The sequence below is a fragment of the Homo sapiens genome, chromosome 12 (assembly GCF_000001405.40).
Source record: "Homo sapiens chromosome 12, GRCh38.p14 Primary Assembly".
NCBI classification, from domain to species: Eukaryota; Metazoa; Chordata; class Mammalia; order Primates; family Hominidae; genus Homo; species Homo sapiens.
The window spans coordinates 1,907,692-1,924,742 of NC_000012.12; the positions used below are offsets into that span (position 1 = coordinate 1,907,692).

General features: G+C 54.3%; 1 protein-coding gene across 5 annotated transcripts in view, besides 2 other annotated features; it reads right to left on the reverse strand.

The window, feature by feature from the left end:
- The window catches only part of CACNA2D4 (calcium voltage-gated channel auxiliary subunit alpha2delta 4), a 126,690-nt gene extending 115,729 nt beyond the window's left edge, over positions 1–10,961 (reverse strand). For all 5 annotated transcript variants that reach the window (NM_172364.5, XM_047429897.1, XM_011521041.3 and 2 more), the window contains exons 1-5: positions 10,556–10,961; positions 7,163–7,244; positions 5,332–5,448; positions 2,215–2,274; positions 184–346 (exon numbers count right to left, since the gene is read on the reverse strand). In NM_172364.5, the coding sequence (NP_758952.4) occupies positions 184–346; positions 2,215–2,274; positions 5,332–5,448; positions 7,163–7,244; positions 10,556–10,782 (649 nt within the window). In that variant the 5' untranslated portion in view covers positions 10,783–10,961. The remainder of the gene's footprint in view (positions 1–183; positions 347–2,214; positions 2,275–5,331; positions 5,449–7,162; positions 7,245–10,555) is intronic.
- Positions 4,878–5,378: an enhancer, noted in NCBI's record as "H3K4me1 hESC enhancer chr12:2021735-2022235 (GRCh37/hg19 assembly coordinates)". NCBI's record gives its function as "activates a minimal SCP1, AML or CMV promoter by ChIP-STARR-seq in primed H9 embryonic stem cells {active_cell/tissue: H9 hESC(primed)}" and the evidence as "EXISTENCE:reporter gene assay evidence [ECO:0000049][PMID:30033119]".
- Positions 9,034–9,610: an enhancer, noted in NCBI's record as "H3K27ac-H3K4me1 hESC enhancer chr12:2025891-2026467 (GRCh37/hg19 assembly coordinates)". NCBI's record gives its function as "activates a minimal SCP1, AML or CMV promoter by ChIP-STARR-seq in naive H9 embryonic stem cells {active_cell/tissue: H9 hESC(naive)}" and the evidence as "EXISTENCE:reporter gene assay evidence [ECO:0000049][PMID:30033119]".

Sequence of the window (17,051 nt, forward strand, 5' to 3'; positions counted from 1 at the left end):
GTGTGCCTGGTGGGCGTGTCTGGTGGACGGCCTGGTGGGCGTGCCTGGTGGGCGTGTCTGGTGGGTGTGTCTGGTGGGCCAGCCTGGTGAGTATGCCTGGTGGGTGTGCCTGGTGGGCGTGTCTGGTGGGTGTGCTAGGTGGGCGTGCCTGGTGAGTGTGCCTGAGCTGAGCGTGCCGGCTACCTTTGTTGTACACGTTGGTGGGCAGCTGCACGCTGCTGATGGAGGTGTTCACCGGCAGGTTGCTGAAGTGAGCATTGGACTCCAGGAGGAACTCGGCGCCCAGCTCCACGAAGTTGCCCTTCTCGTCCCTCTCGTTGATCAGGACCGAGTTGTAATAGTCGAACTGGGGTGGACGGGTGAGGCCCACGGAGGCGGCCCGAGCACCGGGACAGGCGGAGAGAGAGGAAGAGAAACGGCGCAGGTGAGAGGACGAGAGGGCCGGGGCCGGGCGGCCATCAGAGTCTACACAAGCACCCGCGGCGGCGCGCTGGGCACTGATCAGGGCGATTCGGGACAAAAATATCCAGGAGGCCGGCGCGGAGAGGCGTGAGGCCGACGTTTGATGACAGTTGTCCTGACCGCTGCCTCAGTCCCCAACTTGGTGCAGCGTGTGTTGACACGGCCGAGGCAGAGTGGAGACAGGCAGCCGCGGAGTCAAGGACAGGTAGAGACAAAAAGCCCCATCAGCCCCCTCCACTTCTCGCAGGCCAGGAAGGTCCCAGAGCCCCAGAACCGAGCCTGCGCAATCTTGGGGCCTGCAGCCTTGGCCTCAGACGGGGCCCAGGTTCCGAGTCCCGCAGCTGCCCTCGGCCTCTCCCACGCGGTGTTGGAGGGCGTGCTAGGATTGCCTCCGGTGGAGCCCCGGCCCCGTTTCCTCCACACGACCGGGTTCACACCTGAACACCCCCCAGGACTGCGTCACGGACATCCCCACGCCAACTCCCACGCCGGACTGCCTCACGGACATCCCCACGCCAACTCCCACGCCGGACTGCGTCACGGACATCCCCACGCCAACTCCCACGCCGGACTGCGTCACGGACATCCCCACGCCAACTCCCACGCCGGACTGCCTCACGGACATCCCCACGCCAACTCCCACGCCGGACAGCGTTATGGACATCCCCACGCCAACTCCCACGCCGGACTGCGTCACGGACATCCCCACGCCAACTCCCACGCCGGACTGCGTCACGGACATCCCCACGCCAACTCCCACGCCAGGTTCCTGCACCCCACACCCGGCTCCTCCTCACGACACTGTGGCCCGCGCTGGCCTTCCACGCATACTCCCAGCCGCGTCCCTGCCCTGCTCAAGCCTTCTGCACCTGCCTTTCCCTGCTGAGAAAGGCTCAGGCTCCTACGCTGACACCCAAGGCTCCCCCCACCTCCTCACCTAACTGTCCAAGACCACTGCCTTCCTCACCAGCCTCTGGACACACAGGGCCCAGGTCCCACTGTTTCCTCAACCAACCTGGTGTTTGTTTATTTATTTGTTTATTTATTTATTTATTTGAGACGGAGTCTCGCTCTGTCGCCCAGGCTGGAGTGCAGTGGCGCGATCTCGGCTCACTGCAAGCTCCGCCTCCCGGGTTCACGCCATTCTCCTGCCTCAGCCTCCTGAGTAGCTGGGACTACAAGCGCCTGCCACTACGCCCGGCTAAATTTTTTGCATTTTTTTAGTAGAGACGGGGTTTCACCGTGTTAGCCAGGATGGTCTCGATCTCCTGACCTTGTGATCCACCCGCCTCAGCCTCCCAAAGTGCTGGGATTACAGGCGTGAGCCACCGCGCCTGGGCGTGTTTTCTTATTTCTGTGTTTTCTTTCTGCTGTGACCAAAGGCCCTTTTCCAGGCCCTGCCTGCCTAAATCCCCCATGAGCCCTGGGCGCAGCCCCAGGCCGCCCTGTCTGCAGGAGTTTGGGGGCAGACCTCCTCTTCTCCAGCCTGCATTCCCCGGAGGCTCCATCCACCCATCTGTAGTGACTTGTGATGTGCTTTATACCGGAGTTATTTGCACTGTGAGCTTCTTGAGGTCAAGAACAAGTTCCGATCCAGAGGCTAGCACATTGCTGTGCCTGTGAGGGGTGAGCAGTAAATGTCTATGGAATCAGTGGATCGCCACCCTACGCCGCCACCCTATGCCGCCACCCCCATATCTGGTACTCAGGCGATCCTGGCCCTCTGGCACCAGTGCCAGGAGTGGGACTCACCACCAGGGATTCATTGAATTCGTGGTTCAGGTCGGCCTCCTCGGCAGCTTCCACCAGATTCTGAGGGATGGGAACACAGAGGTAGGGAGAATGGGTAAAAGGAGCCCAGTGGGTTTTCAGCAAGTGAAACAGTTGCCGGGTGACCCAGCAATCCCACTCCTGGGTGTATGCCCAGAAGGATTGAAAACAGGGATGCAAACAAGAACTTAGGAACGAATATTCACAGCCACACTATGCACAACAGACAAAAGGCACACACATATGGCTAAGTGAAAGCAGCCCATCGGCAGAGGCCATGCACCTGTGATCCCAACAACATGGCATTCTGGAAAAGGCAAGACTAGGGAGATAGAGAAGATAAGTGGTTGCCAGTGGTTGGGGATTTTTAGGGCAGTGAAATTCTTTTGTCTGATACTGTAATAGTGGATGCATGTCATTGCACATGTTTGCAAACCCACAGAATGTACGAGAATGAACCCTAATGTGTGCTATGGACTTGGGGATAATGGAGATTCATTGATTATACCCAATCTACCATGGATGCAGGATGTTGATAGCGGGGAAGGCTGTGGCAACAGGGGATGTATGGAAACTGTACTTTCTTCTACATTTTGCTGTGAACCTAAAATGGCTCTTAAAAATAAAGTCTACTAAAATATGCGTGCGTGCCAAAGCCAAAAGGTGGAAACAACTCAAATATCTGTCATTTGATAAACCAATAAACAAAATGTGGGCTATGCACACAATGGAATATTATGCAGCCCTAAAAAGGAATGAAGTGCTGATGCATGGAACAACACAGATGAACCCTGTAGATATTATGCTAAGTGAAATAAGTCAGGTACAAATGGTCACGTATTGTATGATTCCATTTATGTGAAATACCCACAACATGCAAATCCATAGAGAGAAAGCAGAATAGTGGTTGCAGAGCTAAGAGGAAGGGGATAGGGGAGTGATTGCTTACTTAGTAACCGGATTCTGTTTGGGGCGATGAAAAAGTTTTGGAACTAGATGATGGAGATGGTTGTACAACATTGTGGATGTACTTAATGCCACTAAATTATACACTTTAAATGGTCAACTTTATGTCACCTGTATTTTACCGCAATACAATTTTTTTTTTTTTTTTTTTTGAGATGGAGTCTCACTCTGTCACCCAGGCTGGAGTGTGGTGGTGCAATCTCGGCTCACTGCAACCCCCTCCTCCCAGGTTCAAGCGATTCTCCTGCCTCAGACTCCCGAGTAGCTGGGACTACAGGCACCCACCACCATACCCAGCTAATTTTTGTATTTTTAGTAGAGACAGGGTTTCACGTGTTGGCCAGGATGGTCTTGATCTCTTGACCTCGTGATCTGCCGGCCTTGGCTTCCCAAAGTGCCTTCCACGTGAGCCACCGTGCCTGGCACAATTTTTTTTTCTTTTTTTCTAAAGAGCAGGCCAGCATCGCAGAGTGTCAGGGGAAGTCAGGGTGGGGGAAGTGCTTTGGGAGTCAGAGGACCCAAGATCCTATTCTGGCTTTGTCAGGGCCAAGCCACTAAGCCTCTCTGGTCCTCTGCTTGCACAACTATAAATTGGGTAGGATAATTCCTGCCTCCCCACTCTCAGCCTACAGATCCTAGGATAAGGAAATCCCACAGGGGAAAGCTCATTTCAGGGAGGCTTTGCAGGAAACTTCCCACGCGCACCCTCATGGAAGGTCTGAGGCCCCCATACACCACCCGCAGGAGGCGCAGGGACCGGTCCTCAGAGAAAGTCTGCAGAGCAGCACTTCTTTGGTCTCTGAGGCTGTGGAAGGGCACAGGGAGCCTGGAGCCCCAGCCTCTGGGGGTGTCTCAGGACTGCTCGCTGCTCTAGTGACACAAGGACCGACGCCTGAAGTCAGGCGAGTCTCATACCCCACTGTCTGTGTTTGATCCAAGGAGGCTGTTTACACAACGCTCACTGATTGAAAGAGGCAGGTGTTACTGCGGGTGCCAGGCTGTGTGTGAGGCTAGTGCTTTCCTGCTGTGGTGTGTGATTCAGGGACCCAGGATAGGCTCTTGAGTCCCCAGGCATCTTCTCATTGGTTCCTGATGCTAAGATCCCTTGCCCTGCAGAAATGCTGCACATTATAACAAGTGGGAAAGAAGGCCCCAGCAACCCTGACCCCGGCCTCCTCCCAGAGTGGGGGTTGTGATGGGGGTGGGGGTACACTGACAGTACACTGGAGAGGCCGCAGCTCGCCTGCCCTATCTGCCCCTTCCCCTGCTGCTTGGCCCTGGCCTCAGCCTCCCAATCCAGCCAACCACTCCCGATCTCCTCTCTCCTTGTTCTCCTGGCTGGTCTTACGAGTCCTTTCAGGGAGAGCACTGGTCTTGGATGGTCCGATTCTTGGCTGGATGGAGTGGAGGACTGTGTCTCTCCAACCACACTGTATCTACTGGTTTATACCATCCAGGTCCCCATAGGCCTCAGTGCAGACACTTCACCCCAGAGAAGGGGAAAGCTTCTGTTTCTCCTGGGCCCCACCAGGCTTGGTGGATGTCCAGTAACAGAGTCACCTGGGCACAAGGCCCATCCCTGTAAGCACCTCTGCTGCCCGGGTGGCCCTCAGAGCACTTGGAAGCCATGAAGGTGGGTCCTGATGGCTGAATGAGGGTGAGGGAGGAATGAGGACAGATGAGAAGGAGGAGAGGGGAGGGGGGAGCTTGGCTTTGCTGGCTCCAGCTAGCTCGACTCCCACCCTCCTTCTGCTCCTCTGTCCATCCATTCCCAAAGCAATTCCTAGGTGCTCACCCCGTGCAGTGCTCTGTACTGGTCACTGGGTATGGCCTGGTGACTCAGAGTTCCTCACAATGCTGCAGGCTGACCCGGCAGTGCTGGGCATGGCCGCCTCGGGGCAGAGCTCTGATCCCAGCCCCTCCCCTCTCCTCTTGCTTCCTGTCATTTCCTCTTTCACAGGGATTCTTGGAGTGAGGGTTCTTTTGGCTAACGAAGGTACAAGGCGGAATCTTGTAAGATAGGAGAGGGTCACGAGGGGGGAGGATGCAGGGCCATGACATCGGGAGGGTCACTCTGCCACCTGCGTCATGGGGCTGGGGAGAAACGCCCTGCAGATCACAGGCCTGGAGTACCTGGACCGCCTCGACTTTCCTCCGCAGCATGTTCTCCATGTCCTCTGAGAACTTCCTCACCAGCTCCAAGCCATCCACCTCCTCGATCTTCAGACTGGACTCCACATCCTTGTACTTCTGTTTGGGGAAAGTGGGAGAGATGCGTGCATGTGGTTTTGTACCAGGATAGTTGCACCTGTGTATGCATGGCCTCCAACCTCTCCACAGATGCATTCCGGCACATGGAGCCTGGTTTACTCAACTAGGGTGAGGCCCAGCCCTCTCCTCCCTGGACAACATCCCCAGTGATAGAATAGCTGCCTCTCCTCAAATATCCTCTCTGTTCCAGGTGCTCTAGACGCATTGCAGTTATAGCCTTAACAGGGGAGTAGACCGAGGCTCAGAGAAGTCAGTGAACTTGACCAAGGTCAACAGCCAGGTGAGCAGGTGACCCCTGATGGGGCCAGGTCTCTCAGGCATCCCCAGCCATGTCCTTTGTGCAGAGCCACGCTGCATCCCAGGGCTTGTGAAACCACCCCTGGCATCAGTTCACCTTTCCTCAATGTCCCAGAAGAGGCATCTTGCTATGAAAGTGCCCCCGTGCACATGGATGTGAACCTCAGTTCCCACTGTCCCAGCAGAGCTCAGCAGCTCCAGGCACTGAGGATGGCTGCCTGACAATTGCCAGTGAGCCCAGGAAAGCCTGGAATGGGGTTTGGGTTTTCTCTCTGGGCCCAGGGGAGACCAGCTCTCACTGACTGTGTATTGTGAATGTCTATTCACCCAGCTCTGCAATGTATTGGCCGTGTGACCACAGGCAAGCCAGTCAATCACTTTCCTCATCTGTAAGATGTGACATTTACATAGCTTTAGTGAATGTTCTAGAATGCACAGATTTTACAGAATGTTTTTACCCCAAACGGCCACATCCGTACTGCTCTATGCTCCTCTCCCCGGGCTGTGGTGCTCTGAAGCATAGGAGCGTGCTGTGAGGGGCAGGCGGGGCCTCAGCTGTCATCGCTACAGTGGCCTGTGGGGGCCCGGGGAGCCGCCCACCCTGGCTCCTCTTACTTCCACCAGGGACAGGCCTGGGGGCTGTGGGCAGGGCAGTTGAGCAGGGACATGTGGTCACATGCAGGCATAAGAGCCTGGGATTCAGGATCTTTGTGATATGGAAAAGGTGCCTCATGAATTGGTGGTGGGAATGAAATCATGACAATGAAGCTCTTAGTGAGTGGCAATGATAGAGAAGGGTGAGCTGCCATTGGAACTGCTCTGGGGAGTTACAAATATTAGAGAACAGTGAAGTTGTTTATAACCTGGTAAGAAGACCAGCCAGCCATAAATCGGCACAGAAAGCAATGCATATTAAGGGGGCGGATGCTGGACATGGCTCGGGGGCTGACAGCTGGAGGTATGGGAGGTCTCCCTGCGCAGAGGCCACAGCCCTTTCACCTTCTACGGCCCGAGCAGCTTCCAGGGCCCTGCACGTGCCCTCCAAGTCTCCGCTGGCATCACAGGTGTTAGGCCTGCATCCCACTGCATCCACTCCCTCCGTCTCTCCTTTATTCTTCACCCCACCTCCACCCAGTACATCTGCAGGTCTAATTCCACCTTGGCCTCTGCTCCCTGAGGACCTGACACAATGCTCTTGACCACGCCCCCGAACCACCCCCACTGCCCTGCTTTGGGAGTTGAGAAAATCATTCACCTCCCTGGGCCTCAGTGGCCCCATCTGAAATAAACCGATTTGATGGGATGCCCAAGGCCCCTCACAGCACCGGCATTTGGGGGCTTCGATGGCTGACTGCCCTCTGCCACCCGGTGGGCTCTCTGGAAGGGGGTGACTGACCTTCTGCAGCAAGAGAGAGCCTGAGTATTTGGTCACAGTGTTATACAGGTCCCCGCCGAAGGTGTCAGCCCATAGCTTCACTCTGCCAGGCAATGAAAGGACACGCGTATACACACACGTACACGCACAAATACAGAAACACACGCGTAGACATATGGGTTCACACACATAGAAAGCCAGTGTCTACACACAGACACCTGCTGATGCATGCATACTCCAACACACAGACACATAATGCATAAGAAATGCACACACACGTACACACACATACATACCCCCCACACACATGCATATGCATACACACACGTGACATATGCCCAGAAACACACAAAAGAGCACCTGTCCCTCCTCCTTGTCCCTAAAGCTACAGCCATGGCCTGGGCAGGAGACGCGGAGAACCCTCAGGACCCAGCGGCTGCACTGCTGTGTGCTGAATGTCCTCGGCAGGTTCTCCTGCTGAGGGTTGTGGGGCCGGGCTGACGAGCCCAGGACTGAGCTTGACCCCAAGCTTCCAGGGCCTCTGGTTGGAGAGTGGCAGACTGAGAGGAGAGAAGGAGGGGAGAGGCAGTGGACAGCCTCAGGCCAGGGCCGGAGGACCCTGAGGACAAAGGACAACCTGCCTGGCCACAGCTGTGGCCTCTCAATAAATCGTTCCCTCCAGTGCACTCCACTCAAAGCCACTGGGGGCTGCCGAACCCTCTGTTGAAACCTCAGAGAACGCGTGAGGCAAGGGCACAGCAGGAAAAGGCTCTGAGCTGCCACTGCTGAGCCTGAGGGCAGGGCAGGCCAGGAGGGCATAAGGAGGCCACACCTCACCCTCTGTGTAGGCAGCCTAGTGGGGAGCCCCGACCTCTCGCCCATGCCCCAGAAATGCACCACAATCCCACCATCTTGGCCAGGCTGGTGGGGTCCTGGGGGCAGGTACACAGGGCTGGGGCTGAGCCTCTCCAGATGGAGCGGAAGTGGTTTGCCTGTGCGATCCTTTCAAGATCAGCAGTCATCACTCAACCAATGTTTATCAAGGTCCTACCATGTGGCAGCCTGGAGCCACCCCACAGTCCCCACCCTTGCAGGGACAGCTTTGTCATGCGGGTAGCATAGTACATGTTTGAAGGTGCCCATGAAGGTTGGGGAGGGGTAGTGGTATAAGGGAAGGCTTCCCTGGGGAGGGAGATCTGAGCTCCAGGTTAGAAGTTTGGTAGAGGTTAGCCTGCAAAGGGGTCTGGGAGAGGATTCTAGGTCGGGAGTACAGAAGAGCTTGGAGGAGTAAAACGTGACTTCCGGGCTTCCAGTGTGGGTTGTTGACCTGATGGTGTTGTTACTGAATACAATTAAGACTATCAGGAAGGGCAGGGGGAATGAGCTGAGGAGGGTGAAAAGTGATGTGTGTACCTTGGGCTCTGCTGAATGTGAGGTTCCCGTTGTAGAGCTACCAAGTACCATTGGGAAGGTTGTGCACTGCACAACTCTAGAAGGCACCAATTGTGTTTTACCTTGAAAGACACAAATCTGAATTTAAAACCTCACATGATGTTTAGGAAAAGCTGCCCATAAGCACTGGGTATGTGTCTAGTAGGTAGAGACAGGGCTGGGAGTCATTGATGCAAAGGTAGGGATTGAAATTCTGAGGGCAGGAGGGCTCTCTCAAGGAGAGTGTGCAGCGTGAGATCTCTGAGCGTCGACAGCTGCTGGGGAGCACCCCCCACCTCCGGGGCAGGCAGAGGAGGAGGAGCACTTGAGGACAGCAGAGATAAGCCGTGCCCATGCAGGCCCAGCGGAGCGCAGTGCCACGGAAGTCAAGGACTGGGATAAAAGAAGACGGGGGCTTGTGTGTCCCAAGCAACAGGGTCTGGGGTGACAAGGCCAGGAATGTCTCCTGGATTGGGCATGAGGAGGGCTTTGGGAACCCTGTGGAAACAGACTTGGGAGGAGGTGGAAGCCCGGCTGGAGGGAAAGACTGAGAAGAGAGGTTCGGCGGGAGTGAGGACAGGTGGGGCCAAGTCCTGGGCAGGCAGATGAGGCTGTGTGCAGGCTGTTGTCTCTGGCAGCACCCAGGGCTTCTGCATAGATGGCCGCTGGGGCCCCCCTCCCTGAAGGCCTGGATTCCAGCCACCCCGACTTGGCCCTCAGCCCACTCCTGGAGTTGGCCCTCTCCTATCAGCTGGTGTGTGTTCTGGGGATGAAAATTGTTCTGAACATCTCCTGCAGCAACAGATAGCGTTACGGGCTGGCGGCGGGTGTAATGGTGAAAGTGCAGTCCAGGCTGACAGGAGTTCAAATCCCAGCACCTTCACTTCCTGGCCTTGTGAACTTGGGGAAGTCACCTGACCTCTCGGGGCCTCTGTTTCCTCAGCTGCAAAATAGGGATAAAAATAAGCCCCCACTGAATGGCTCTGCAAACTAACGGTGTCATTTGTGAAGCGCCCAGCTCCGTGCCAGGCAGGGAACAAGGAGAGCTATGCGGCTCGATGGGAAACGATGCTGCCTAATCCACTGGTCAGCAAAGGCTAAGCACAGGCACGGTGTGTCATTTAGGCTCCCTGTCCCCACTCCTGCTAAGACATGCAGTTGGCAGGTGGCTCTGTTGGTGGCCTGGCTATGGTGCTGGGCTCAAGCGGCTGGAGTAAACAGGATGGGGTCTGTAGCACCTACAGTCTAGAAGGCTCTGCTACCCACATGTATTGGAAATTTCCTTCCTAGGACCACCTGAGCTAGGGCCTAAAACACAGACACCCCAGAGAGGTTGCACAGTAATTTACATGTACACCAAGGTGCACATGACTGATACCGGGTTCTTTCCTGGAGCCGGTCTTAATGGCCGGCTAGAGAATCAAGGTTGGAAGGAGGCAGAAAGGTGTAGAAAGGGAAGACTGCGGCCACCAAAATCCATTTTTTTCCCCAGTTCCTGGACAAGCCACCTCCTGTGCGCATGAGACGTTCTGTGGGTTCAGAACTGCTTCCCCTTTTTGGAATGTCAAAATACGCATTTCCTGCCAAATGCTTCGGGGAGCTGCGATGCTGAGATAACCCGGCTCCTCCAGGCTGCCTCATCTCAGCGATTATCCTGAAGGAGCACCCGCCCTTCAGGTGTCCCAGAAGCTGCTTGTCAGGCCAGGAAGACAGCAGCCCTGATGATCAGTTCTTCCTAAAGCCATCCGGCTCCTGGGGAGAGGCAGGTGGGACTCCAGAACTCACAGAGCTTTTGGGAGGAGAAAGAGGAGGCCGGAGAAGCAAAGGGCTTTACAGCAAGAGAGTGGTCAGTCGCAGCCACTGGGGAAAAGCCCAGAGGGAGGGCAGGGGCGGGAGGAGTGGGCAGAGGATGGAGGCCCAGCCCGGGAAGAAAGTGGGAAAGGGTGACCGGGTTTTTGGGGTGGGGTTGAACGTGATGCTTACGTTTCCAGAGGAATCTTGGCCTGTCCCCACGCAGGGGACAGGGAGGTGCCTAGAAGCAGCAGCCACAGGAGGGCCGAGGTCTTCTGCACAAAGGCCCAGGCCACGGGCATTGGCTGGAGGGGAATCCAGCGGCTGCTGGAGCTGGGGTTTGCGAGGAAGTTGGGAGTTGCAGGCATGGTGGGCCTGGGGTTGGGGAGGGGAAGGAGGGCAGAGCAGCCACAGACCATGAGCTCTGTCTGCCTTCCTCCCAGACCCCAGGACGCCCCAGGCCTTTGTCTTCCGTGCCTTGGCGAGCCTGGGGTCTCCAGCCTCTCAGTCCTGGGTGGGGAGGGCTTCTCTCTGCCCCACAGCTGCAGCTCACAGAAGAGTCGCCCCACCTAGCAAGCAGGCCTCGGAGACAGGGACTGGGGGAGAGGCTGTGGCAACATGAAACCCTTTAATCCGCTGGCCTCTCCTCTAATCCTCTCCTGACAGCAGGGAGGGGGTGGCAGGGGGTGGGGAGCTGCCTCCCAAGATTACCACAACTGCAGCTGGTTCCCTCAGGGCTATAGTGCACCCCTCTGCTTTAAAGAGGCAGCCCCGTTCCTGTGGAACCACCTTCTGGACCCAGGAAGGGCTTGCTGTGACTATGGCCAGAGGACAGCAGCTGAGTTTGCACAGTACTCTGATTGACCCACAAATCTCTTGTTGACCCTGAGGTGGGGGTGTGTCCTCATCCCTGCTTGGCAGAGGCTCTTGAGGCCCGGGGAGTCCCAGGGGCAGAGCTGGGACTCTGGCTGGTGTTTCCAGGCCTGGTGCCTTTGGGACAGGTCATAGGTCATAGGTGAAGTCAGTGGACCCACGCCTCCACATCTCAGCTGCTCGTGGGCGGGGCTGGGGACGCATTTGCTGTGCAACTGATGAAGCTTCAGGACCCCTGAATCCACAGACTCCCCCCTTTCCCGGAGAGGCCCTAGCAATGTGTTCCTGTGGCCAAATGTTTTTGTAAAATATGCAAAAGTTGAGATAGTTTAACCATAACCGGTTGAGACTGTCTGTCTCTTTCCATCCCAACTTCTCTTCCGTCTGAGGGACTCTTAGTTGGATGATGTTTGGGTGGCTGAGGGCACTTGGGGGATCCAGTTAAGAGGAAAGTGAGCTGGGGAAACACTTAATCTGGGCTTAGTGGGATATGCTGACATGGTTCACAGTGACTTCTTTGTACAGAGAAGTTACCTCCAGCTGAGTGTAGGCAGGGCTTCCAGGAACACTCATCCCACAGGACATCCCACCAGCAGATGCAGCAAGAGAGGCTGGGCCGTGATGTGAGCGCACGCTGTCACACCCACCCTGGCCATGTGTGGTGGGGAGGGCAAAGTAACAGTCAGGAGCTCATCTGCAGAAAATCTACAAAAAGCCACACAGGTAACATCGTTGGTGGAGGATTTGGTTCTCACCAAGGCCTGGCCAGGACAGAAGTTCTCTCCTGTTAGGAAAATAGTGGATATTGAAAGAATATAATTACACCGTACATTGCTTTGTGTTCTGATGAGAGTTACACAAATTAGAATTGATCAAAATTCTTGTGTTGTGAGCCCAAACCAGTAGTAGTACCACATGGGTTCTCCGGGGGTGAAGTCATAGATTTTATGCAGTCCCCGTATCAGATTATTTTCTTAGTGTAACTGGTGCACTGTGTCTTCACAAAATCTGGTGGTTCCAGCAAAATGGTAAGCAAAATTGCCACCAACGCAGAGAAATGCTTGCAGAAGCAAGTGTTCTGATGACAAAACTCCTACACAGATTCATCAATAAGTCAGTGCTGTAGTATCAGAGTAATCTGGTGGCACAGTTTTGTGGCTGAATACAATGTATTTTTTAAAGGCATCTAAATGATTCCTATGAATGCCTTAATTTCACATAAATTTTGTACATGTTTTGAGGATTACAAATCAAACACATTTAGAAAAAATACTACAGAGGCACACTGGGCAGTCAATACATAAAAAGAATGTAACTTCTCTAGGTTTTGTGAATTTGGTGGAATTCACCAGCTTCTTAAAATTTGTAATTTGGAATGATTTTTAAAACTGAATAAATATTCACCTTTTTTCAACTTTTTTATTGTGGCCCAATATTTATTGTGGCATAAAATGTGCCATCTTAATCATCTTTTTAAGTGTACGGTTTAGTGTAATTAAATACATTAATCATGTTGCTCCACCTTCGCCGCCATCTATCTCTATAATTCGTTCATCTTGTAAAACTGAAACTCTGAACCCATTAAACACTAGCTCCCGTTCCCTCCTCCCCCAGCCGCTGGCGGCCACCACTCTCCTTTCTGTATCTCTGATGTTGACGGTTCTAGGGACCTCACAGAAGGGAAGTCATCACATAGTTGTCCTTCCATGACTGGCTCATTTCACTTAGCACAATGTCGGTAAGGTTCACCCACGGTGCCGCGTGTGTCAGAATTTCCTTACTTTTTGGGGGTGACCAATGATGGGTTAATATTTCATTGTGTGGATAGACCTCATTTTGTGCATCCGTTCCTCTATCGATGGACCCTGGGGTGGTGTCCTCCTTTTGGCTACTGTGAAATATGCTGCCGTCAACACGGGTGTGCAAATATCTCTCGAGATCCTGCTTTCGATAATAAATATTCACTTTTATTTTTATGTTTGTACCTGGGATTTGCATTATTTTTCTTTTATGGGTAACCACTCCCACATTATACAAGCTCCCACTGCCCCCACGGGGTTCCAGCACCCTGTCCGGAAAGCCTTCGCCTCCCTCTACTGTGTCAAGCGTGACAGCGGCTTGGAAAGCTCCGTCCTTCGCAGACACACTGGCGGCCTGTGTCCTGTGCGCCCCTTAGACATACTTAGGAAGCCTCAAAACCAGGCCTTCTCAGCCCAAGGCCACCGCCGGCCTCCAGGCGGCTGCCTCTGCCCACTTCCCCTTCAGGCTCCAGCGACGGCTTCCTTCCCTGACTGGTGGAGGAGGGGGTACAGCTGGGCTGCATCCTGCGTCCCCTACATCCACCCCTTTCCAAGGAGTCCTTTGGAAACCAGCTTTCCCACCTGTTTCCTGCGGGCCCCTGTCTGGTACCGGGCCTCCCCACCCTGCCTCTCATCATCTATTCTTAATGCAGCAACCGAAGGCTCTTTTCAAACGTAAGTCAGACCCTGTGGCTCCCTCCCTCTGCTCCGAAGCCCCCAGGGCTGCCCATCTCCCTTAGAGGAAAAGCCACAGTTTTGACCACAGCCACGAGGCCCTACCTGGCTGGAGCTGGCTTGATTTTAAAAATCATTCCAAATTACAAATTTTAAGAAGCTGATGAATGCCACCAAATTCACAGCCACGAGGCCCCACCTGGCTGGAGCTGGCTTGATTTTAAAAATCATTCCAAATTACAAATTTTAAGAAGCTGATGAATGCCACCAAATTCACAGCCACGAGGCCCCACCTGGCTGGAGCTGGCTTGATTTTAAAAATCATTCCAAATTACAAATTTTAAGAAGCTGATGAATGCCACCAAATTCACAGCCACGAGGCCCCACCTGGCTGGAGCTGGCTTGATTTTAAAAATCATTCCAAATTACAAATTTTAAGAAGCTGATGAATGCCACCAAATTCACAGCCACGAGGCCCCACCTGGCTGGAGCTGGCTTGATTTTAAAAATCATTCCAAATTACAAATTTTAAGAAGCTGATGAATGCCACCAAATTCACAGCCACGAGGCCCCACCTGGCTGGAGCTGGCTTGATTTTAAAAATCATTCCAAATTACAAATTTTAAGAAGCTGATGAATGCCACCAAATTCACAGCCACGAGGCCCCACCTGGCTGGAGCTGGCTTCTCCTGACCGCGCCTCTCTGGGCGCGGGCTCCCGCTGCTCCTTGGGTGCCTCAGGCGCGCCCCCCATCGGTGCGGCTGACCCCCGAGCTTGCAGTCCGCGCCGCGGCTGTGTCTGCCTGCTTCCCCCTGCGTGGCCGGCCCTCTCATTTCCATCAGTGTCTGGCGTCGGGTTTCCTGCAGGAAGAGCTGGTACCCCTGGATCGGGCAGCTTGAGACGAGTTTAACAGAGAGGCTATTTACAGAGGTGTGGACGGAGTCCTGCAGGGACACTGCAGTGGCCAGGGCTGGAAACCGCGGGAGCTAGCCCCTAAGCCTCGGGGAGGGGGACGGGGACGGGGACGGGAAAGCCACTGTACCCTGGAGAGAACAGGCTGTATGGGGGGGACTGTGGCCGCCAGGCAAGGGATGCGGCCAGCCACAGCAGTCCCGTGGGAGGGCTGGGGCCGTGGACACCCACTCACCCTCTGCCTCCCCCGCTCTCCTGCTGGTGCCTCCACCCGGGGAACCTTAGGGACTTATCCGCGTGCCCTCGCTCCCCCCCCAGGACAGCCCCCCAGGGCAGGGAGAGCACTCGGAGGGGCCAGCAGGAGGCGTCCGGCTCAAGGTCTTCAACGCCACCTTTTATGATGAAAGTGTCCTTGAATGAGAGAGTGGTGGGCAGTGACGCACGGCTTTGTGAATAGCCTGTCAAGCACCGAGCTGCAAACTTTAACATGGAGAATTTTACGGCATGTGAATTACTTCTCCATTAAAAAACCTTTTTTTTTTTTTTGAAAATCACCTTTTTAATGAGTGAAGACTTTCCTGGCTACAAGATCCACCATCTTGGCCCGACCCCTGACGTTCCCTGTCCTTCTTCACAGCATCTTTCTTCTCCTCAGTGGCTATCATGGGACGTGCCATATACAGGCCTCCTCCTCTAGCACGCAGCCTCCATAAGGGGCAGGGCCTGCGGGCTGTTTGTCCCTGCTGTATGCCCAGTCCCTCAGCACAAGGAAATAAAAATGTGATTGGAATGAAGGAGGGATTGAAAGGGGGGTGATTCTGGGTGGAGGTGAGGGCGCTTGGGCCAAGTCCTGCTTGTCTCCGCCTCCGCTCTCTGGGGCCTTTGAACAGGAGCCCCAGGGCCCCAGGGTCAGTTTGGAAACCCCCATGTAGCCAGGCAAAGGCTTTCATTTCCCGTTCATTTTACGAATGTGTCTCCGGCGGCTCATTTCATCTTCAAGTGACACAGGACATCACGAAGGCCTTCTGTGGTATTTGTACGCCACTATTCATTGCAGTGTGATTCACGACAGCAGAAGGTGGGAGCAACCCGGGTGTCCACCACGGATGGACATGGATCATGGATAAATCCAAGTGTCATCAAACAAACAAAACGTGGTATTGCACATGATGAACTATTAAGAGGAAGGAAATCCTGACACACGCTACAACATGGATGAACCTTGAGGACATTATGAGTGAAATAAGCCAGTCACAGAAAGACGAATACTGTATGATTCCATTGATACGTGGTTCTCAGATTCACAGAGACAGAAAGCAGAATGGTGGGTGCCCAGGGCTGGAGGAGGGAGCAGTGGGGAGTTAGTGTTTAGTGGGTGCAGAGCTTTGGTTCTGCAAGGTGAAAAGGGTTCTGGAGATGGAGGGTGGTGGTGGTTTCACAAGCGCATGAATGTATTTAGCACCACTGAGCTAAAACATGCTTACGATGGTACATTTTGAGTTACGTGTATTTTAGCACAATGTTTTAAAAGAAGAGAGAAAAAAGAGGTGTGTGGGGGGTGCTATAGAGCTGCCCGGGGCAAAACCAGGAGTCCAGAACCCTCCCAACTTCCTCATCCCCCAGAGACTGCTTCCCATTCTTCACACATCCATCGCTCCAAAATGCCAGTCTGGCTGGATTGCAGAGCTTTGAAAGGGAGAGTGCATTTCAGACTCCTAATGCCTTTCATCATGGCCCAGGCAATTTTTTTTTCTTTTTTTTGAGACGGAGTCTCACTCTGTCGCCCAGGCTGGAGTGCAGTGGCGCGATCTCGGCTCACTGCAAGCTCTGCCTCCCGGGTTCATGCCATTCTCCTGCCTCAGCCTCCCGAGTAGCTGGGACTACAGGTGCCCGCCACCACGCCTGGCTAATATTTTTTTTTTTTGTATTTTTAGTAGAGACCGGGTTTCACCATGTTAGCCAGGATGGTCTCGATCTCCTGACCTTGTGATCCGCCCACCTCGGCCTCCCAAAGTGCTGGGATTACAGGTGTCAGCCACCGCACCCGGCCAGCCCATCCAATTTTTACTCAACAAGGGAGGAGGAAGTGAGAAATAAGGTCATTAAACAAAATGGTCTTGCTTGAACATGTGCCTCCTGCAACTACCCACACACACATGGGCACACACATGCACACGCACGTCTCCCCACCATCACTAAGAAATGCAGCTTGAATCCAGATGGTAAACAAGCTCATTAGCCTAGCATCAACCTAGATTTGCTGGTGCAGTCTCCTGCCTGCGGGACGTCAGGCCTCCAAATTGTACCTTCTGCCTGGAAAGTCTGAAGCACATCAAAGCCCGGGAGCAGAGGGCAGCGGGCTAATTAGACGCTGCCCAGGCAGGCAGCCGCTGGGAGGCTGTGCGAAGAGGCGGTCTGCCAAAGAGTGG